This window comes from Homo sapiens, chromosome 10 (genome assembly GCF_000001405.40).
Source record: "Homo sapiens chromosome 10, GRCh38.p14 Primary Assembly".
NCBI lineage: Eukaryota > Metazoa > Chordata > Mammalia > Primates > Hominidae > Homo > Homo sapiens.
In genome coordinates, this window is record NC_000010.11 from 10910327 (window position 1) to 10933941 (window position 23615).

General features: G+C 41.2%; 1 protein-coding gene across 26 annotated transcripts in view; it reads left to right on the forward strand.

Annotated features, from left to right (window-relative positions):
• CELF2 (CUGBP Elav-like family member 2) overlaps positions 1-23615 on the forward strand; it is an 874126-nt gene that overhangs the window by 447777 nt on the left and 402734 nt on the right. For all 26 annotated transcript variants that reach the window (XM_047424494.1, NM_001326323.2, NM_001326320.2 and 23 more), the window contains one exon: positions 9638-9673. Coding sequence is in view for 9 of the 26 variants with exons in the window: in XM_047424485.1 (XP_047280441.1) it covers positions 9638-9673 (36 nt within the window). In the remaining 17 variants the exon portion in view is untranslated. Of the gene's footprint in view, positions 1-9637; positions 9674-23615 lie in introns of those variants that run through there.

Genomic DNA, 23615 nt, shown 5'->3' on the forward strand with positions numbered 1-23615 from the left:
TACAAGCATATGATTTGAAAAAAATACACTTCTGTTGGTTTGTTTTGGAGAGATGTCACTTTGTTCACAAAGCTTTAAAGAAACACAGGCCAGTGCAGTAGTTCATGCCTGTAATCCCAACACTTTGGGAGGCCGAGGTGGGCAGATCATTTGAGTTCATGAGTTTGAGACCAGCCTGGCCAACATGGTGAAACCCTGTCTATACTAAAAAATACAAAAATTAGCCAGGCATGGTGGCATGCTTCTGTCATCCCAGCTAGCTACCTGGGAGGCCGAGGCAAGAGAATCGCTTGAACCTGGGAGGCAGAGGTTGTAGTGAGCCGAGATCGTGCCACTGCACTCTAACCTGGACTACAGAGTGAGACTCTGCCTCAAAAAAAAAAAAAAAAAAAAGAAAAGAAAAGAAAAAGAAACACAAGTAAATGTCTCGCATGTGCATTGTCTGTTTTTTCGGTTTTTGCTTTGACTTTTGCTTTTCAGTTCTGGGAGTACAAGTTGGTAAGTGAAACTTCATGTGACATTTCTAGGCTCTGAGACTATCTTCAAGAGCTGGTTACATTTGCGACTGCCAAAGTCTAAATGAGTGACTTTCAATGAGCAGGAATTGTTACTAACAGCCGAGTCAGGTACTTAGCGGCTCACATTGTCTAACTGTGGTAGAATTACAGAGCATATGGTGTATGATGCTTAACATGCAAACCCAAGCCTGCATAGGGAACATCCTCATAATGCCACTAGCAGTGTCCAAGACAGGCCTCCTCTTCTTGGGTGGGTTTCTGAGCTGCGTCTGAAGAGGACATTTCTGAAAGAAAGCAAACATAAGCCCTTCCCACTATCTCGAAATGACGGAAGGGACACCAGTGCCATTTGCACACTGGCTTCCCTTACAGATGCCAGCCAGGGCCGGATGGGCTCCTCTGCGGAGGTGATTAAGAGAAACCTTTGGCAGTTTGATTTTCAAGGCACTTGAGCACAAGGGCAGGGACAAAGGCACACACTTGTGGCTCTTTTATAGAAAGAATACTAAAATAATACAAGTAAATTGTGAGCCAAATAAAATCATAGCAAGGACTCTCAACAGGACTCCCCAAGTGAAAATGAAAGATGATCAGGAAGAGGCTGTATGTGTCAGTGATTAGATTCAATGAACCTGAACTGCAGCGATGCCTCTGACGGCTCCGACTGCAGGCCTGCCTCCTATCAGATGGAAGTGGCTCGTTCCAAGCACCGCGCAGTGCATTCCTGAGTATTGACTAAGGGATTTGTGCATGGGAGACCGGTTTCCCCACGGCAGCGCCTCTCCGCAAGCCTGGGCCTGGGGCCTGTCCGGACCTCCGTCCAGGCAGCGAAATCCCAAAAGTGTATGCAGTGATTTAAAGAGTAACTCCGCCTCCTGGACTTTATCTTGAAATCTGAGAGGTAGAGAAAGTTTCGTTCCTATGAATGTAGGCTAGGCAGAAGGAACTTACAGGAGCGCTCTTGGGAAACTGTTCTGAAAGCAGAACCACATCTGTGAATGTAGCTGGCTCATATTGCAATCATTTCCACCCAGGAATAGATCTGAGAGGCTGGCCTCTGTAGCGATGTAAAGTATCTCTTGTCGAAACCTACAGTTTTCTAAGTGATGTGGTGAGTTTATTTAAGGGTCTTGTTTTAGCTGATCAGCATTTTGAATGTACAAACACAGGCTGCCCTTCTTTTCTCTTAAATTACAACAATACCTAGTATCACCTGTTTCATACAGCAGGTACCCCGTAAATCTTGAGGAGAAGAAAGAAATGCAGTAGTGCAAAGGAAAGAAATGAGCATAAGAAAGGGAGGTGAGGATGGAAGCGGTTGCATTTAATGCAGTCACATATTCACAGAGTCACCGCATCAGAGAGGTCTCCCAGGACCACCCTGCATAAAATTACAGCCTCTGCCACCCTGCTTTTACTTTCTACCCCGCTACCTTGCTTCATCCTTCATAACATATTCTATATAATGTAGGAATCAATATTCATTTGCTTGTTTGGTTTTTGTCTATCTCCCACTTCTAGAATGTGAAGTTCCTAACAATGGGACTTACTTTTTTTTTTGAGATGCTCTGTCTCCAGGCTGGAGCGCGATCTCGGCTCACTGCAACCTCCACCTCCCAGGTTCAAGCGATTCTCCTGCCTCAGCCTCCCGAGTAGCTGGGACTACAGGCATGCACCACCATGTCCAGCTAATTTTTCTATTTTTAGTAGAGAGGGGGTTTCACCATATTGGCCAGGGTGGTCTTGATCTCTTGACCTTGTGATCTGCTTGCCTCGGCCTCCCAAAGTGCTGGGATTACAGGCGTGTGCCAGTGCGCCCAGCCAACGGGGCTTTTTTTGTTGCTGTTGTTCATTTGCTATAGCAGAAGCCAGAAGGGGTGCAGGAGTATACAGCATAGATAACATATCTGTGGCTTACGCATACTCCCCTGTTGTTCACATCCTGATGAAAAGCATGGGCTCCGGAGCTGGGATGCTTGGGCTGTGTTCAAATCCTGACTCTATCTGTCATTGCCTGCATGGCCTTGGGAAGTAACATAACATTCTTTTGTCTCATTTTTCTCGTCCTAACCATGGTGTAGTGATAGTAACTACTTCGTGAGGCTTTTCTAAGGATTAAGTGAGTGGACGCCTGTAAATGGCCTGGAATAGTGGCTGGTGTTAAAGAAGATTCCATTTGATGTGAACAGTTCCATGAATGTGTGTGTGCAATTGTAGATTTCACCATGTGAGAATAATTACTTGTGTTTGTATACAGACACACACACACACATTTTGATGTTTTAATCATGAGTGAAAATCAAGGAGGAATAAAAGTAGGAGAGAAGACATGAAGGCCAAAAAGAATGAAAACATAGTGATGAATGACCAGAGGGAAAATCAGAGTGAGGGGAAAGGACAGTGTCTTTAGATTTTGTTTAACAGAGAAGAAACTTTCATCTCTAAGGTGTTTGGGATTTTCCAGTGCTAAGGTTCACCACACAAGAAAAAAAATTAACTGTCCTGAATTAATATATATGCCTTTGTAATGATGTCTTTTTTTTTTTTTTTTTTTTTTTTTTTTGAGATGGAGTCTCACTATTTTTGCCCAGGCTGGAGTGCAGTGGCGCAATCTCAGCTCACTGCAACCTCCGCCTCCCGGGTTCAAGCGATTCTCCTGCCTCAGCCTCCCAAGTGGCTGGGATTACAGGCATGTGCCACTACGCCCAGCTAATTTTTGTATTTTTAGTAGAGATGGGGTTTCACCATGTTGCCCAGGCTGGTCCCAAACTCCTGAACTCGGGTGATCCACCTGCCTCAGGCTACCAAAGTGTTGTGATTACAGGTGTGAGCCGCTGCACCCAGCCTGTAATGATGTCTTTAAGCTAAGTTCTTGTTTATGTTTTATTTGAAAATGGATCCAAATTAAAAATGCCCACAGTTTGCCTCAAGCTAGTTGACAAAAGAAAGAAAGAGAGAAGGAGAGAGAGAAAGAAAGGGAGGGAGGGAAGGAAGGAAGGAAGGAGGGAAGGAGAGAAGGAAGGAAGGAAGGAAGGAAGGAAGAAGGAAGGGAGGGAGGGAGGGACGGACGGGGCAGGGGAAGGAAAGGGAAGGAAGAGAGGAAGGAAGGAAGGAAAAAGGGAAAGGAAGGAAAAAGGGAAGGGGAAGAGAGGGGAGGGGAAAAATCTGCTTGGTTGTAATACTTTCACTCCTAATTACAATAAAGAAAACCCCACACCTTCTACAACTAGAACATTAAATCATTTTTAGGACAGGCAATACAAATAAAATCTATTTTACCTTTTTTTAAAAAAAAAAAATGTTCTCTGTACTTTTGGGAAAAAAATTAAAGATACAGTTGGAGAAAAACATTCCAGGTCTTAAAAATATTTATCTTGCTGACACACAATTAGCATGGGGGCTCATGTCTTGTGTTTTACAGTTGTCAGCTAATTTTGGAAACTGGCAGAGGCTGCACAGAAATAGATGGTGTGCTCTTGCTTCAACACTTCCTAAAAAAAGAACTGCTCGCATAGTTCAGGAACGGGGAAGGACAGGAGATGACGAGGGAATGTTATTGCAGACAGCTGATAAAAGCTGGCATCACGCTTTGCACTGATGAATGCTCTACATATTTAAAATTAAAAGATTTTTTTTAAGGAATGCTAAATAATCTACCAAAACTGTGTCAGACACAGGGGACACTTGTCTGCTATCTTTTTCGGGATTTTTTTCCTTCAATAAAACTGAATTTATGCTGCAACTTCAAATTTGCGGAGAGCTTTCCTGTTGGTTCAGGCTGATGATCACACCAACGATGGTGTGGTGTTACTTTGACATCTGAGACACAGAGACCCTGAAGAGGTCAAATGAATTGCCCAAGGATATACAACTTATCAGAACCAGCACCTTCCATCACCTCATTCTACTTCTTAGTTGCTGGGACAGTTCTTTTTCTCTGAACATATAATTGCACTTTGTAGTTGTTTGCATCCTTGTTTTCATTCAATTTTTAGTGGTCTGGGCCAGGCATGATGGCTCACACCTATAATCCCAGCACTTTGGGAGGCCGAGGCGGGTGGATCACCTCAGGTCAGGAGTTGGAGACCAGCCTGACCAACATGGTGAAACCGCATCTCTACTAAAAATACAAAAAAAATTAGCAGGGTGTGGTGGCATGTGCCTGTAATCCCAGCTACTCGGGAGACTGAGGCAGAAGAAACACTTGATCCTGGGAGGCGGAGGTTGCAGTGAGCCAAGGTCACACCATTGCACTCCAGCGTGGGCGACAGAGTGAAACTTTATTTTAAAAAAAAAAAAAAAAAAGATTTTTTAGTGTTCTGCTTTTCACTTGAAATCAGATTATCTTGGTAATGATAACTAAGGAAAGGAAATTAGTACAATTAAACTCCAAATACTGCTATAACTATATCAGGCATTTTTTAAAAAATGAACTTAAGAGAGCAGAATTACCAGCCAGTAGAAAATGTCTATACACTCAAATTTATTAAGTGTTTGGTGTGTGCCAGGCACTGAGTATTCAACATCTTATATGAGCTGTGATCTTTGACTAAGAGTAGCCTTTTTTGTGGTTGTTTTTGAGATAAGATCTTGCTCTGTCACCCAGGCTGGAGAGCAGTAGAAGGATCACAGCTCACTGCATCCTTGAACTCCTGGGCTCAAGTGCTTCTCCCACCTCAGCCTCCAAAGTAGCTAGGATTATAGGTGCATGCAACCATGCCCACCTCATCTGTTTGTTTGTTTTTTCTGTTTTTGTTTTTGTTTTTGTTTTATAGGAAAGCAGTATTGCTATGTGGCCTAGACTGGTTTTGAACTCCTGGGCTCAAGCGATCCTCCTACCTCAGCCTCCCAAAGTGCCGGGATTATAGGTGTAAGCCACGGCACCCGGCCCTTAGGGGAGTTTTCAGTAGTAGATAAATGAAGAGTATTCATTACTTGGTGCCTTATACAGTTTCTTTTACTGGAATGTAAACACTTGGCAAGAAGGATCAGGATCTAAATTCATCTTAGTGCCTCTCAAAACATCCAGCATTGCCTGGGCTGAACGTAGATTAAGTGCTAATGAATATTTTGCATGAATAAATATTAGTCAGGAAATAAAGATGATTTACGCTTAGGAAGCAATGCTAATAATGGACATTGTGCCTATAAAAGGTCAATGAAAAATGCATGGTTTTTATGTCACCTGCTTTAAATCACCTCAGGTGGGTTATGACAGAGCATAATCTAGAAGCATGGGATATTCTGCTCAATTTATTTTCCTCAAGGGTTGCTTTACAAAAGGTATAAATTCATGAAAACATGTCACTAATTCAGATGACTGTTTAACAGTAGTAAACAGATAAAAACAAACAAATGGTCACCTGAAAAGCTCCAGTGTTTGTCGATTTGCTGGTCTCAAAAATGGTGACTGGATGATGACTCCTAGCTACATTACTGCAGTCAAATACAGTGGGGTGTTTTTGTCTGTTTCATTTTGTTAAAATTTGGAGCTACATGCACCAATGAAATCATCAGGTTTTCAGTAATCATGGACATCAAGTAATATCTGTAACTCTAATGTCAGTTTTTAGCACATGAGCGTGTAAAGCATAGTTTTCCCCGGCTGGGACTTAATACATGATGAACATGACTTTTCCCCAGCATCTATCTTTTGCTTTCAAGGTAGGGCCAACACCTTTGTCTTTGAATGTGTGATTCACTGAATAAAGTTCTGCATTGTCTTTTGTGCATAAATCCACCCATAGTCCACCATTTGGAATTTCTTTTGTTGTTGTTGTTGTTTTGAGACAGAGTTTTGCTCAGTTACCCGGAGTGGAGTGCAGTGGCGTGATCGCTGCTCACTGCAACCTCTGCCTCCCAGGTTCAAGCAATTCTCCTGCCTCAGCCTCCCGAGTAGCTGGGATTACAGGCGCGTGCCAGCACACCCGGCTAATTTTTGTATTTTTAGTACAGATGGGGTTTTACCACATTGGTCAGGCTGGTCTCGAACTCCTGGCCTCAAGTGATCCACCTGCCTCTGCCTCCCAAAGTGCTGGGATTACAGTCATGAGTCACTGCACCCAGCCTGGAATTTCCTTCTTCTTCTTCTTTTTTTTTTTTTTAAGGAAAAAGAACTTAGAGACATTTGTATCTAATTCAACATCAGTTTTTCTTAAGTGACTTGTCATTTTTTATCTTTTCAAAGTTTCTAACTTAGTTTTTACAGAAACAAGAATTTTTCCACACTTGTATTTCATCAATTTTACATCAGGCTTAATTAAATTTAAAAATTACAGTGATTGCCAGTACCATAAACAGGTTGGGGAACAAACACAGTATACTCTTGGTAAGCGTGGAGACTTAAGCAGCTGGAGCCAAAGCAAAGCAGGTGCTCTTAGAGGCCTCAGCCTCTGTGTTTTCCCTTGTGAGTGAAGGATGTTGGTCAATCCAGTAAGCTTTTGAAACAGAGGTCAATTATGGACATTTCTATTGCAGTGGATTGTTGTTTGTTTTGTTTTGTTTTTAAGAGACAGAATGTCACTCTGTTGCCCAGACTGGAGTGGACTGGTGTGGCACAATCATGGCTCACTGCAGCTGTGACCTCCTGGGCTCAAGCAATCCTCCCGCCTCAGCCTCCCAAGTAGCTAGGATTACAGGCAGGCACCATGATGAGCAGCTCATTTTTCAAATGTTTAGTAGAGACAGGGTCTCACTGTGTTGCCCTGGCTGGCCTCAAACTCCTGGGCTCAAGCCGTCCTCCTGCCTCAGCCTCCCAAAGTGCTAGGATCACATGTGTGAGCCGCTGTGCTTGGCCTTACTGCAGCGGTCTCAGTTGAAGACAGCTTTGTCACCAGTGGACATTTAGCATTGTCTGAGGACATGTTTGGGAGCTACAGTGGGGCTGGTGGGGAGCAGTACTACCGGCATCAGTGGGTAGATGACAGGGATGCCATTAAACATTCTACAATGTCCAAGATTAAACAACATCCAAAACAAAAGATTATTTTGCTCAAAATAATGTCAAGTTTGAGAAATGCTCCACTGTGATTTAAATGGATTTATTATAATGTATGAACAACTTCGTTTTAAAAGATCCCAGGAGACTCATCATATTAAAATATGTATCGTCTGGAAAGCAAAAATAAAAAGTTAAAAGATTAGACACAAAGAAATTCAGTTGTATCTTAACTCTGTGCTGTTAGTGTTACTACAATCAAGCTGTAAACATAAATCTCACCCTCAAGGTCAACGAGGCCAGAAAAGTTCATTCATTCCTGATAAGATGAATAAATATTTATTGAGTGTATATGTCGGTCTCAAATGACAGAAAGATAAAGGATAAAACAGACACTTAAAAGAGACTTCTATTGTAATAAATGTCATAAGGGAAGGCTAAATAGGGAGGGGTATTTCTTAGCTTGGGTATCCACAATTCCAGATTCTGTTTGGAAAGAGAATTTTTCATGCAGCCACTAAATTCTTCAAAGACATGAACATGTGTGACACATTCAGTGGCAGAGTGGACAATACCTTCAATTCTGGTTTTGCTGAAGGAATGGAAACTTTCTCCCCAAAGCCAATCTTTATAGCAATAAAAGCTGATTGTTTAATATTATATGATTACTTAGGAAAGAATATTTTTATAGAAACTAAACTTATTCATTTACTAAGGAAGTATGGCTCTGTTGGAACCACCACTTCTCCAAAGTGCTCAGGTATTATCACAGGGAGTAAATAGGAAGAGGGAGTTCTAATAGCTGGGAGGGTCAGGGAATGTCCTTTGTTGAGAAGGAAGTCCTCTGTTTGAATTGACACAGTAGGAAAAGAAAATGTTCCTTTAAAGCTGAAGCTTAACCAGGATTGACACATTGGATTCAGGAGGTCAATGAACCGTCTGCAAGTGTGTACCACAGTCTGTGTGTTTGTATATATTGTTATTTTCTCTATGTAAGGTGTTTGTGTCTTTAATGAGATTCTTAAAGGGGTTATATGACACTAAGGAGATTTTATACCATTGTTCCTAAGAATTCCACCTTTAATCCCTTGAAGTTGAGCCCTCCTCTCCTTTTAAAAGAGTTCAACCGAAAGCCTCCATCTCCTCCTTCTACTCATTGTTCCCTTCTCGTTCCAAGAATACATTTCTGATTGAAAGACAAGAGATGGGCCAGGTGCGGTGGCTCACACCTGTAATCCCAGCACTTTGGTAAGCTGAGGCAGGCAGATCACTTGAGGTCAGGAGGTCGAGACTAGCCTGGTCAACGTGGAAAAACCTGTCTCTACTAAAAATACAAAAGTTAGCTGCACGTGGTGGCACACAACTGTAATCCCAGCTACTCAGGAGGCTGAGGCACGAGAATCGCTGGAACCCAGGAGGCAGAGTTTGCAGTGAGCTGAGATCACGCCAGTGTACTCTAGCCTGGGCAAAAGAGAGATACTCTGTCTGAAAAAAAAAAAGAAAGAAAGAAAACGAAAGACAAGAGACGGCAATTGGGACAAAGTTAGTTTTGAAATTTGTCTCTGGTCATTTTTATTAATATGCAAAAGCCTTTCTTTAGTGACTTTTCTTTTGTGCCATTTGAATTATCATAGTATCTACCTTCAACAGTCCTAAATGGTAGAACTTTATAACAAAGAAATGAAAAACAGCAGTTTGCTACTAAAAGAATTCCATTTTGTGCTGTTTGTGTTCCTTCATAAGCTTCGGGTGACAGAGGTCAACATGAAGCAACATCCCCAAAGGAATACATTTCTCAGAGATTCTTGGAGAAAGATCATTGGTGCTTCGTTTAACATGTAAATGTCTACAAGGTGGTTTGGGATTTGTTTCTCTTTCTATTATCCTTCTGGATGTTGTACATTTTTACATTTTAATGTTTTGAACTTCATTGTATTCAACCACCAGAAAGTAGAGGCAGATATTTTGCATGTGTATAAAATTTCCGTTGAAAGTAACCATTGGAATGATCAATGGGAATTAATCAGAAATGCAATTAATCAATTTTAACTTTCTAACCACCTGCATGTACGGTATCTTCTTTATACCTGATACCATAATACTTATTATGTGATTAAATACATTTTCATAATTCACCAAAATAAACTTAATCATACTTATCTTCTTTTTCTCCTTCCTGCAGAGAGACGGCCACAGAGTTAGCTGGGAGTCTACCAAGGTGAGCACGCTGGCTTTGCTTATTCTATGCCCGATTTCTTATATCCACAAAGAGAAGTACTGTGCCATGTCTTCTGTAAGAGGTCTTCTCATTTTGTCTTCCTCATGTCAGATTTTGATACCTCATACATCACCATGTAAATGCCAAAAATTATGCATGCGTCACATATACATGATGTAACCAGGAAGTAATGAGGCTCATGTTCATAAATGACTTAGATTATTCACATTCCTTTGAAGTCATATGGTATATTTGGAGATGTATATATGAGCTAGATATGCCATAGAAATCATAAACATGCTGCTTCCTTTATTATGTTCACGGGAATTGGCAATCGAAAAACATATTGGATTGGTTTTTTCTTCAATGTATTCAGTATTCTTACTGTGTTCAGGGACTTAGAGATTTATGAAAGAATCCTGAGCTTCCCCTGAAGAGCTCACATCATAGTATTGATAGTATAAGTGCAGTGGAATTCTCACTGTCATCAAAATAAATACTTAGTAATATTATATCATAGAAAGAAATTAATATGTAATTGATCATTGTGCTTTATATGTAATTTATCAATGTGTTTTATATGTTTTTGATATTTATGTCAGTATATTAAATAAGACATGATTAACAGAATGCAAGCTCTAAATAACTAGCCATCAAGGATGATTACCAGCATTTAATGGAAGGGAGGGAGAAATGGAGAAAAGAAGGAAGGAAGGAGGAAGGGAGGAAAGGAGAAGAGATGGGGGTAAGACTGGGGAGGCAAGAAGAAAGGAAGGAAGAAGGAAGAGAGGAAGGGAGGGAGAGGGGATGGGGGAGGGAAGACTGGGGAGGGAGGAAGAAACTTAGGAAGGGAGGGAGGAAGGGGCAATAATTTAAGAGGTATTTTGCTGGGCATTGAATGTATCTAGAATCTCTCCTGAGCACCAAGGATTGTGCCTTTGTTTTGTTGTTGTTGTTGTTGTTGTTATTTTTTGAGACAGAATCTCACGCTTTCACCCAGGCTGGAGTGCAGTGGTGCAGTCTCAACTCACTGCAACTTCCACCTCCCAGGTTCAAGCGATTCTCCTGCCTCAGCCTTCTGGGTAGCTGGGATTACAGGAGACTGCCACCATGCCCGGCTAATTTTTGTATTTTTCGTAGAGACAGAGTTTTGCCATGTTGGCCAGGCTGGTCTCAAATTCCTGACCTCAGGTGATCCACCCGTCTCGGCCTCCCAAAATGCTGGGATTACAGGCATGAACCACTGTGCCCGGCCAGGTGTTTGTTTTTTGTTTGTTTTTGTTTGTTTTAGCTGGAGTCTCCTTCTGTCGCCCAGGCTGGAGTGCAGTGGCACGATCTCGGCTCACTGCAACCTCCGCCCCTGGGTTCAAGCGATTCTCCTGCCTCAGCCTCCTGAGTAGCTGGGATTACAGGCGTGCACCACTACGCCCAGCTAACTTTTGTATTTTTAGTAGAGATGGGGTTTCACCATGTTGGCCAGCTGGTCTCGAACTCCTGACCTCAGGTGATCCACCTGTCTCGGCCTCCCAAGGTGCTGGGATTACAGGTGTGAGCCACCGTGCCTGGCCATGTCAGATGTTTCCAAAAGAGAGGAGAAATTTACTCATCTAAATGTGCAGAAGACATCAGGAGAGAGGGGAAGAGGACGGAGTCCCTGAGAAGGCAAGAGGGCACGGGATCCAGGGCACAGATGGGATCAGCTTGAGAGGAGAGCCCAGGCTTCTATTTGAACAAGGATGGACGCAGGAAAGGGGTGTGTGGATTCAGAGCAGTGTGTGGGACTGGGGCCTCAGGGAGTCTTAGACATTCTACCTAAGCGTGGATGGGATTACAGGCGTGAGCCCCCGCGCCTGGCTCGTGCCTTAGTTTTTGAAGGTACTCGATAATCATGCGTGAATGTATTCATATGTCCTAGGATATTGCCTAGAAACTGTTGGAAGTAGAAATCAAGAGAATCTCAAGAACAGGAGAAGCAGAGTGAGCCCAATGTTGTCATGAACAGCACTGGAGAACAGGGGAAAGTACAAATTGTTGCCATCTGTTACCGGAGATAAGCACATTTGGTTGCTTTTTTTATGTAAAGAAAATCTTTGCTTATAGGATCAAGATTAATATTGCCAAAAAAAAACTGTTTACTGTGATCCAAATATTTAAATTACTGTAGGTCTTCATTCTTTGGATAACGTCCCAAAGAAACATTTCCATCATGTGCCAGTTTTCAGGGTTAAAACTGTCCGAGTGTTCTGGTTTGTGTCTCCCCGCTAAAATTGTTTGTCTTTGTGCTTTCACTCTGGAAAAAGTCCACCCTGAAGACCTGAGCATCCCATCATGTGTGGGCAGAGAGATTGTTGTGTGTCTACCCACGTTTGGGCTGAGGAAGTCAATCCTGAAATAATGGAACGAGGAATGACTTCCAAACTTTTGTAGAGCAGCTAAGAAGCAGACCACCTCTATGTTGTCAGAAGATACCCACTCCGTGCTGTAATCACACAGATGAAAATGATTCAGATGTCTGAGAAATCACCGTCGGCACCCGGAATTCTATTAAGTAGCGCTGTATTTTGAATACCAAGCAGCAACGCGTATATTCCCCAGGAATGATCTTTTGTAGCTGGTTTATTACTCAAGGGAGAGGCTGCTCTCTTCTTAGGTTTGGTGGGTGGTATTTCGGTAATAAGCCTACTTATTTTTCTTCAGGAATTTTTGTTATTCTCATGTCGAATCATGTTGAAAATAAACAACATGCCGACATTCCCATTCTAACTGCAATTTGCAATCACTGTACTGCCTGGCGATAAAGGAGTGAGAAGTAATATATCAGTGATTTCTCAATCGTACTTCTAATGTAGCTTCAGGTATTCTTTCGACTTCTCCAGGGGCAGTTTGAGACATAGCCATTGACAAATATTTCCCTTCCCCACATTAACATGAAATCATGTAATGATTTGATGATGAATCCTCCCCTTGTGTCCAGCTTATTTCTTTTGCTAGTGTTTGTTTGTTTGTACAGTCTCGTAGAATTCCATCAGTTGTTCCAGCTTTCAGCCTTTTTTCAGATTTCTTCAGCCTGTCACGGGGAAAGTACAAATTAGCCCCGAAATACCTCGGTGCTGTGGAAAACAAGGCACCTGTAGTTATTTTGTTTGTTTGTAGGCTAATGATTAGTGGAACATGACACTTCGAGTTTTTTCTGCACTTAGTCATAAAGGTGCGCTTACGCTGTGACGTCTAGGAAAAATGGAAAAATGCAACTCAGGCAACTGCCAACTAGTGATATGTGGCTGGGAAGGAAGACGGTGGCATTTGAGAACAGTTTTATGGTTTGGTTTTCATTGGCTATGACTGTCTTGAAATGTTCCGAAAGACCATTTACACGGGTTGCATAAGGGTGGAGTATTTCCACCGTAATTACCTTACGTGGTACTAATTTAAAGCACTCCGGCCACTGGTGGATAATATTCTGTGAAAATGTGCGCATGCTGTAGCAGTGGATTGCGTCTGGGTAGTTAAAAATGCTTTGAAGTCGAAATGAGATATGTGCCCAAGGTGCTTGAACAGGCAGGCGCTAAGTTTGTTTTTCATTGCTAATGATAACCTAAATGTGTTTTTGAATTCTTGCCATTGCTGAAATTAAAGCCTGGTAGTAATAAGTCACCAGAAAAAAATTAGATTATATGAGCAACATGCACTAAGCATTGAAATTATATTATAAATATTAAAACCAATGATCTTGTTAGGATTAAAACAAATATTTAAACTGGCTACACGTACTATCCATGCCGATCTCTTTATGTTGAAGTGTCCCGGAAACGGGATGTATGGAACCATTTTTTGAACTATGAAAACAATCATTTTCAATCTTATAAATGACTCCTTGCTTTTATTTTTGCTTGTAGCAAAGGACAATTTAGCAATCTGAGCAGTTGTTTTCCCCGTTACAATCATGTTTTTCAAGATCTGGTTTTTAGGATGAAGGGTGTTGCGTTTCGGTAGATGTGTTTTAAATAAATCATGGTGAAACCCCACTTGTTCAAATGGAATGAGGTTTCAATATAAATGCCTATAAAGAGAGAAAATTTTATTTTGGATAGCAAAGTAAAGATATAAACACTCTCTACTAAAAATACAAAAAATTAGCCGGGCGTGGTGGCGGGCGCCTGTAGTCCCAGCTACTCGGGAGGCTGAGGCAGGAGAATGGCGTGAACCCGGGAGGCGGAGCTTGCAGTGAGCCGAGATCGCGCCACTGCACTCCAGCCTGGGCAACACAGCGAGACTCCGTCCCAAAAAAAAAAAAAAAAAAAAAAAAAAAAAGATATAAACACAGTTTATATCAACAGAGGTTTTACTGTAATCATGCACTATGAGCTGCTGTTTTTGAAAAAAAGGGAGCATTTTAATTCCTTGTTAACAGAGTCCACTGTTTTTCAACATAAACTAAACAGTTTAGAAAATGAAGGGATATAATAGACCTTAACAGAAGTATCTTAAGTACTGCAGTAGAGATTCATATGTTGATTCTTAAACACAGCACCGAAAAGTCAGGATGTTCTTTGAGGACCACGAAGTATTCGTAAATGAAGCTTAAAATAATTCGGTATATAAATCAGATGTCATCTTGTACTGGATTTTAGTATAAACCAGTGAAAGCAGGGGCCAACAGTTAAAGAAGTTACGAAAGAAAAATTTAGACTTTTCTCTTGTATATTAATCCAGTAACTTGATCGCTTTTTTTTTTTTTTTTTTGCCTTCTGTGAGAGGGTTAGGAAACATAATTCAATCTAAGCAATTGGGGAACCCCCAATACCTAGAACACTGGCGTATACCATAGGATTACTGTCTGAGAGCCGCTACCAAGAAGACGGAAATGCCTGGTTTGTGTGACTGTCAGAGACAAAAGCCGTTATATGCCGTTTTGCGTGTGAAATTCTGGTCTTAAGTCATAGATCTTTGTTATCTAAAATTTGAACCGAACAGATTCCATTTAAAGGACGAGAGAGACTTACCTCTCCAGCTGACAATATTTCTCAGTCATGGATGTGACAGATCAGGTAGCAATAGGCAGAAACGGTGGAAGCAAAGATAATTCAGATCATCTCTGAGAGCTCACCTTTCTACATGGAGGGCTTTGATAGGAAACATAACCTCCTATTTCTCACTGTCCTCAGTACGCAATGCCATTTTCTGAAAGACTTTCGAAAATTAAGAGATAAATATGCTGGTACTTCCAGGCCAACCTCTTACTGAGTCATCTAGAGCCGATGGATGGACACTTCCTGTCTTCTTTATAATCCCTAGGAAGCAGCAGCTCCCCCAGCTCTCCTGGGGCCCATGCCTGGTGCTATTCAGTATTGACACAGTTCATCCTCTATCGTTAATTCAACCAGGGTACAGCATGCACTAAGTATATGCCAAGCATGGTTGTCAGCTTGGCATACACTTAGTGCGTGCTGTACCTTGGTTGTGGGAGAAAACAGACGGACACCATCTCTTCTCTGAAGTGGTTCAGTGGCATGAAGAAGGTACCGATCATCCCAGTGCTATGGGAAAGTGTTTAACCCATAAGAGAACTAGGGAAACACTGAAGCAAACACAAAACCCAAGGGATTTCAGCAGCGAGATGGGCTAGTTCTGATCAGAGGCAGTAAGGACATCATCCCGAACCAACCTTCTGAGCAGGACTGGAGCGAGTGGGTCAGAGTGGGTAAGTACAGGCCAGGGGATAGCCCACAGAGTCCCCAGACCTTGCCACCCTCCAAACCGTCTTCTTTCAGATTCACTGCTTGACTCAAAATATGAAACAAACCCTCTGGCCTAAGTGACTGGTTTCCATACCTTTCACAACCCAACTTTCTACTCCCAGCGCCCAACCATCATACAGCACCCAGACTCTGCGATCACAGCTGCAGATGGTGAGGTGTGTTCTCTCTTCCTCCCTGCCCCAGCCCCTACCTCCTCACCTTTTCTAATGCATCTACCACTCATAGCCTGTGACTGAGTTCTTTCCTGCACAAACCTTTCCCTTACAATGTCCTTCTTTATTATTTTTCTCAGGTTGAATCCATTGAAAAGCCTCGGTAGTTACAGCAGGCTAAAAATGCAGGTTGAGTTTGTAGTTATGGTTCAAGAGGTCAGAGAAGGCCCAGGGTGAATTCAGAGCCTCTATGGTCTGAATGTGTCCCCCACAATTCATGTGCTGGAAACCTACTCCTCAATGTGACTCTGGGGAGGTGAGAATGAATGGGAGGTGGTGAGGTCATGAGGGCTCTGATGTCATGAGCGGATCAATGCCACCGTAAAAAGGGCTTGTGGGGGCAGATTCACTCCTTTTCTCGCTCTTCTGCCATGTGAGGACCCAATGTTTGTCTTCTCTTGCTCTTCTGCTGTCTGCCATGTGAGGACACCGTAAGAAGGCTCACACGGATGTTGGTGTTTTGAGCTTGAAATTCCCAGCCTCCAGAACTCTGAGAAATGAATCTCTGTTCTTTGTCAATTACTCAGTCTGTGTGATTCTGTTATAACAGCACAAAACGGACTACAGCCAGCACCCTGGTACACCGTCTGCCATCTTCATCATGTTGATAAGGCGCACCTCATGCTCACAGCAACTCCAGCCGTCACGTGGGGACCATGTCCATCTTCTTCCATGGGACTGTTTTTTAGGGGAGGAATCCCTTTTCCATGCCTGATCCCTTAGGGAGGGGACATTGGGTTTCTGGTATTCTCAGCCTTTGTAATGGGAGGCCTGTTCTGTCAGCAAGGAGAAAGGTAGGAGTCGGGGTAAGGGGAGAATGGATTGTAAGTACTTAAAGAATGGCATCCATGCCAGGTAGGTGCTTTTCTTCTTCTTCTCCATCTGGGTAAATCCAGTGGCCATTTAGCTGTGATCTTAATTAGTCCCTCAGCTGCATTCAACCTAGGGACAACTTCCTCCTCCATGAAGTGCTCTCTTCATTGTAGAGACATCAAGCCCTCCAGGTTTCCCTCCTCTCTTGCTGGCCATTCTTCATCAGTCTTCTGTTACTCCTTGCCAGCTTGACTGGCCTCTGCAGGTTGAGGTGCCCCAGGGCGCCCTGGGCATTGCTCCATTCCCCTGTGGGGAGGAGTGGAGAGAGATTTCATCCAGCTCCATGATTTTAAAGATCATCTTTATGCAGATGGTTCTCATTCATATATCTCCAGCCCTGACTTCTTCCTTGAGCTTCACAGCTGAATATCCAGCTGCTAATGTGACTCTCTATGTGGAAGCATAAACTTAAACTTAATGTGGCCAGAAAAGAACTCTTGAACCCTACCTCAGCCCACCTTATCATCATATACCCAACACTCAAAGGAGAACCTAGTGACATTAAAAAAAAAAAAAAAAAAAACACCTTTTTCTGTTCTCAGACTTAGCAGATAACTTGTTGGCTCAACCTCCAAAATGTATCTTTATTTATTTATTTTTTTTGAAATGGGTCTCACTCTGTTGCCAAGATGAAAGTTCAGTGGCATGATCATAGCACACTGCAGCCTCGAACTCCTGGGCTCAAGTGATCCTCCTGCCTCAGACTCCCAAGTAGCTGGGACTACAGGTGTACATCAGCACACTGGGCTAATTTTGAACATTTTTTGTGGAGATGGAGTCTTGGTATGTTACCCAAGCTGGTCTCAAACTCTGGGCCTCAAGCACCTCTCCCACCTTGGCCTCCTAAAATGCTGGGATTACAGGCGTGAGGTACCATGCCCAACCTAAAATTTATCTTCACTTTGTCTACTTTCTCTCTCTCTTTCCAAGCCACCATAAACTCCCACCTGAACTGTTAAATGGCCTTTGAATTGGTCCTTCCCACTTCCTCTTTTGCAATTCATTCTCTAGGTAGAAGTCCAAATGATCTCTGAAAAGTCATCCATCAAAATATTGTTTTTTTCATAAAATCATGTAAGAGTTTCCTATTGCTTAGAATAAAATCAATGCAATGCACTTTGGTTCCAAGGGCTGCTTTCATCTACCTCTGCAGCCTCATCACCTGCTACTTTCTTTCTCATTTATTTTGCTTCTGACACACCGGCCTTTCTCCGCACTTACTTCCACAGAAAGTTCTCCTTTCACCACCCTATTAAGTAACCCCCCAACACACTTCCTATCACATCGCCATATTTATTGTCATCTATTTTTTATTTGTTGATTTATAAATGATCTGTTCCCTTCCCCCTTAGCTCCAGAACAATGTCTCCCTTGCCTGTCCGGTTTATTCCTCCATTTGTAGGACCCTGAACAGAACTGGCAGTCAATAAATGTTTGTTGAATGACTATATGAGCCCCCATTTCAGAGATAAGAAAACTGAGATCTGGTCTCCTACTCTTTGTATGTGTTCTTCCTTCTATTTGAAAGCCCAGTGTCATCTCTCTGCTCTTTTTCTCCCCTACCAAACTCTCTACCACTTGTTCTTCTAGATCCGGATTTTGCAAACTACAGCCCACAGACGAAATCTAGATAGTGGCCTGTGCTTATAAATATATATATATATGAACACAGCCATAACATCTATTTATGTGTTGTCTGTACCATTTTTGTGCTACAACATCACAGTTGAGTAGCTGTGGCAGAGACGGTATAGCCCCCAAACTGAAAATATTTACTGTTTACTTTTATAGAAAGGTTTGCTGACCACTGTTCTATACACATCCTAGGTTTCTTTGATACCTTCTCTGCCCTGAAGAGATTTATGTTCCTTCTGTTGGTTCCCAAAGACCCCAGTTTTAACCCCTATCCTAGCATCTGTGTCATCCAATAATATAATTGACTAGAGGACTTTTACACCTTCTCCGCTAAGTAGGAAACACACTAAAATCCTATTACTATTTGTTGTTTGTCCCCAGTGCCTAGCAGTGCCTGGAACATAGTAGGCACGAATAAATATTTGCATAAGTGTTTGACCGTCTGAATAGATGTTTAAATGAATTAATAAGTGTTTGAATGGATTAATAAATGTTTAAATCAATGAATAAATATTTGAATTGGGAAGGGAAGGAGGAAGGATTGAGGAAGCCTTCTCCTAAAGAACCAGGGGTAGACAAGATGTATGATTTCTGCCTTCTCTCACCCTTCTCACTCTTCTCACTGCTCCGTAGACTTGGGCACCTGGAAAAATTCATTTAATTGGCTGGAAAGTTATTAACCTAAATTTGGCTGTTGCTGTTGAGGCCATGTTAACATGGAAGCTACGAGATCAGTCTTTGGGCTCAGAAATGCTTGAATCTTGTGTCTGCCATTCCTTAATCATGTGGACTTAAGTTATTATGTTATTATCTCTGCCTCAGTTTTTCATTTATAACATTGGAAGAATTATCACACCCATCTCATAGTATCACTGTGTGGAGATAACCCATGTAAAGTATTTAGCTCAATGCCTGCCACACAGCAATCAATAGGTGGTAGCTGTTATCTTAGTTCACTGAAAGAGAGGATTATGCTAATTATTTTACCAATGCTTAGGTGTGTTCATGTCTAAGAGAAGATACCATATTACATTATAAGGAGCAGCCCAGCGAAGTGATTCAGTGCATATGATCTAGAGCCAAACTCCGGCTTGTGTTAAAAATCCCAGTTCAGCCACTTACTTGTTCTTTGACCTTGTGCAAGTTTCTTCACCTCTGTCTGCCTCAGTTTCTTCATCTGTAAAATGGGTAATAATAGGGCCAGCTGTTCTGACAAGTAAGTGAAATGATACCCGTAAAGTGCTTAAAACAGTGTTTGCTCTTTATCTTATTATAAGGAAATTAAAGTTGCATGTTAGTTGAAATTTGAGGTGGAGATGAGAGAGCATCAAGCCATCGGGCATATAACCCTCAAATTCAGAGTTTAATTATGCAGTGCCTAGATTGTTGCCTTGCTACGAGTTATTGCTGATGATTCAAAAGAGAATACCCAAAGCATTAAATGTAAAAGTCCCTTGACCTTGCTATAATACACGAAAATAACAATCACTTAAAGGAAGTATATATGCAAATACTGCCCGCCTATCACGGGCAGCTCCATCGCAAATGTGGTGTTCATTAATTCTCAAAATTCTTTATAGATGCGTATAAGAATCCATAGTGACTGAATTAAATTACACTTGTTTTATAATATAGTGTTCTGATGTGTAGCAGACTATCAAAGGAATGATCTTTATGAGGAAAACTTTAGAATATTGTTAAGTTACTCACTGTGTGACCTATTTAGACTTCTCAGATTCTTCTTATGGTAGACTGCATAATTAAATTTTAAATGGAACATGATAAAGAAATTATACTGGTGATCTCCAGAGATTTTGATACCCTATTTGGCTCTTTATAAGAGGATAGCAAAGACATACTTTAAAAATTAATAAAGCCCTGCCCTAATTTTTTTCCTTTTAGATTTTCCTTATCTGCTCTGTAATTCAAAGCTATGTTGCATGATCCACAAGTGTTTCCTGAAATAAATGATCAAAATAAAAATTCTTAAAAGCACATTTATCCCAATTTGAGAATTCCATTATTTGTGCATGAGAGCTTTTGTGCAGTAGTGGAACTTCTTTAAGATAAAGCCTGCCGTTTTCTGGATTTGTCGCCATAGAGAATTGGAGATTTATTCATTCTGTTTGTGGAAGCATTCATATCTTCAGAGTTTATAGAGCAAAGGGGTAGAAAATGGTTTCCACGTAAGATACAATTTTGCAGTTAGAATTCCTCATTTGCTATGTAAAAGTTGCTCGTCCCTTGGGTGAATAATTTTTTTCCATAACCTTTTGCCATTCATTTTCTCCTGTATTTAAAGGGGCATTTCCAAGATATAATAACATTCTATATTAAATACAATATTCTCATCTTTACTTAATAACTTTTGTAGTATAAAGCACACCCATGTTAGTTAAAAAGCCTTTCTTATTCCTCTAAAGGGTTTCAGATTTTGCTGTCCAATGAGCTTTGACAAAAACAAAACAGGTTGGAGAGTTTCTGTGCCTGCCCAAGGTTGATTTGCTTTTTATACCTTCTTAAATATTGGCTTCCACTGATGTTTGGGATTGTCGAGCTACCAAGAACACATAAATTAATAAAATTTATTCCCATGTATACATAGATAGTTTTAAACCCTGTAAACCTTTCTTTTCGGATTAGGTTTTGTAAATGTTTCTATTATGTATTTTCCTTTTCCTTCTTTCTGGCGAATACGCAGTTTTCCTTTTGGACTGAAACCACTCAAGCATCCTATATTGTGTTCATTTTTCAAATAAGCAACATTAGACTCACAAAACACTATATAAAACCAAGCTGAGGCAGTGACATGAGCCAGCAGAGAAAATAAATTCCCCATTAGGCCTGACTATTCATCCTTAAACCTCTGCTTGTCATGCTGGCTGGGGGTGGGGGGTGTAACTTTAAGGAATAATGCCAAGCTCCATAAAGGATTCTAAAGAGAAACTCATACTGGAAACATGATTATCCAGTGAGTAAGTGGAAACTCTATTTACCACCACAGTTATAGCATTTGAGACCCTCCCTCACCCAGATCCCAACCTGTGGAACTCAGGCTAGCATCGACATAGTGACACCTGGTGGCCCCTAATTCATCATTGGGCACCACGGCACCCCTTCCAAAGTAAAGAAAATTTATTTCCAAATTAGGCTTTCAACGTAATAGGTTTCTGCGTATGGTTTACAAGTTTTTAAAATACATACCTAATTAATAATGGAGATGCTTATGGACACCACAATGAAACCTTAAAATGAATCTCTTGATAATAGCAATGCATTAGTCTTTTCTCACGCTGCTAATAAAGACATACCCACAACTGAGTAATTTATAAAGACATGAGGTTTAATGGACTCACAGTTCCACATGGCTAGGGAGGCCTCACAACCATGGCAGAAGGTGAATGAGGATCAAAGTCATGTCTTACATGGTGGCTGGCAAGAGAACTTGTGCAGGGGAACTGCCCTTTATAAAACCATCACATCTCATGAGTCTTATTCACTATCATGAGAACAGCATGGGAAAGACCTGCCCCCATGATTCCATTACCTCCCACCAGGCCCCTCCCACAGTGTGTGGGAATTCAAAATGAGATCTGGGTGGGGACACAGCCAGAACATATCAGGCAGTATCATTACTAATGACATCCTTGATCAAGGAAATATATGAGGTCCTATGGGGGATACAAGGTACGATGATCCCTGCCCTTAAGAACCAAAAGATTCTACTAAAAAAATCCAACTCATAGAAGCAGAGTAGCATGGGGGCTGGACAAGGTATGCGGTGGGGAGTGGGGAGATGTTGGTCAAAAGGTACAGAGATTCACTGGACAGGAGGAATAACTTTGGGAGATCTATTGTACAGCATAGTGACTATAATTAATTTATGTATACTGGAAAATTGCTAGGAAGGTAGATTTTAAATGTTCTCATCACAAAAAAAGATCAATATGTGAAGTGATAGATATTTAATTATTTGATTTAATCATTCCACAGTCTATGTATATGTACATCAAGACATCACAATGTACCCTATAAATATGGGAAAGTTTTACCTTGTCAATTAAAAATTAAACTAATAAATTAGTTAATTAAATAAAAGAACCAAATGGTTCAAAAGTAGGAATCAATTTTAGTAGAAGAAAGCATGTTCTTTCTTAGCAAAATGTCTCTTACATGATAAAGTAAATATGTATGTGTATGTGTGTGTGTGTGTGTGTATATATATATGTATGTATAATACATTAAGTAACATATACCTGGACCAAAGAATTAAGTGCAGAGAAGAGAGAACATTTTTCATATGGCAATTGAAAGAATATCATTGGAGGGAATATCCCTTCTGCAACCAGAAAGGGCAAAAATAAAGCAAAGTGCAAGGAATGTAGAGTGTCTGGAGATGGAGACCCAGCCAACTGGTTTCACCCAGATGGTTTGTTAAGAGAATAATGAAATATGAATTAGAAAAGTAGATAGAAGCCAGATTGCAAAGCTTTAGAATGATAGAAGTGGTTTACTTTTTAAAAAATTGACACAAGGCCGGGCACAGTGGCTCATGCCTGTAATCCCAGCACTTTGGGAGGCTGAGGCAGGAGGAATGCTTGAGCCCAGGAGTTCAAGACCAGCTTGGGCAACATGGCAAAACCAAGTCTCTTAAAAAAAAAAAAAGGTACAAAAGTTAGCCAGGCATGGTGGCACACGGCTGTAGTCCCAGTGACTCAGGAGGCTGAGGTGGGAGGATCTCTTAAGCCCAGGAGGTTGAAGCTGCAGTGAGCCATGATGGCACCACTGCACTCCAGCCTAGGTGACAGACTGAGACCATATATAAAAAATATTTTGACACATAATAGTTATACATATTTATGTGGTACAGTATGATATTTCTATACCTGAATACATTGTGCAAAAATCAAATCAGGGTATTTAGCATATCTGTCATCTCATACAATTATCATTTCTTTGTTGTGAGAGCATTTAAAATTACCTGTTTTGAAATATATAACATTTTATAATTTTATATTATTATAACCACAGTCACCCTATTATGCAATAGAGCAACAAGAGCTTAGTATCCAACGGTAACTTTATACCCATTGACCTTCTTTCCCAGTGCCCTCCTCTCATCCCCACCCCACCCCATCCCCTGGTAACCACTATTCTACTCTCTACTTCTATCATATCAACTTCTTTAGATTCCACATATGAGTAAGGTGATATGGTATCTGTCTTTCTGTGCCTGGCTTATTTCACTTAACATAATGCTCTCCAAGTTCATCCATATTGTTGAAAATGACAGATTTTGATTTTCTTATGGCCAAAGAATATTCTATTGTGTATATATACCACATTTTCTTTATCTGTTCATCTGTGGATGGGTGCTTAGGTTGATTCCATATCTTGGCTATTGTGGATAATGGTGCCATGAACACGGGAGTGCAGATATGTCCTGACGTATTGATTTCAATT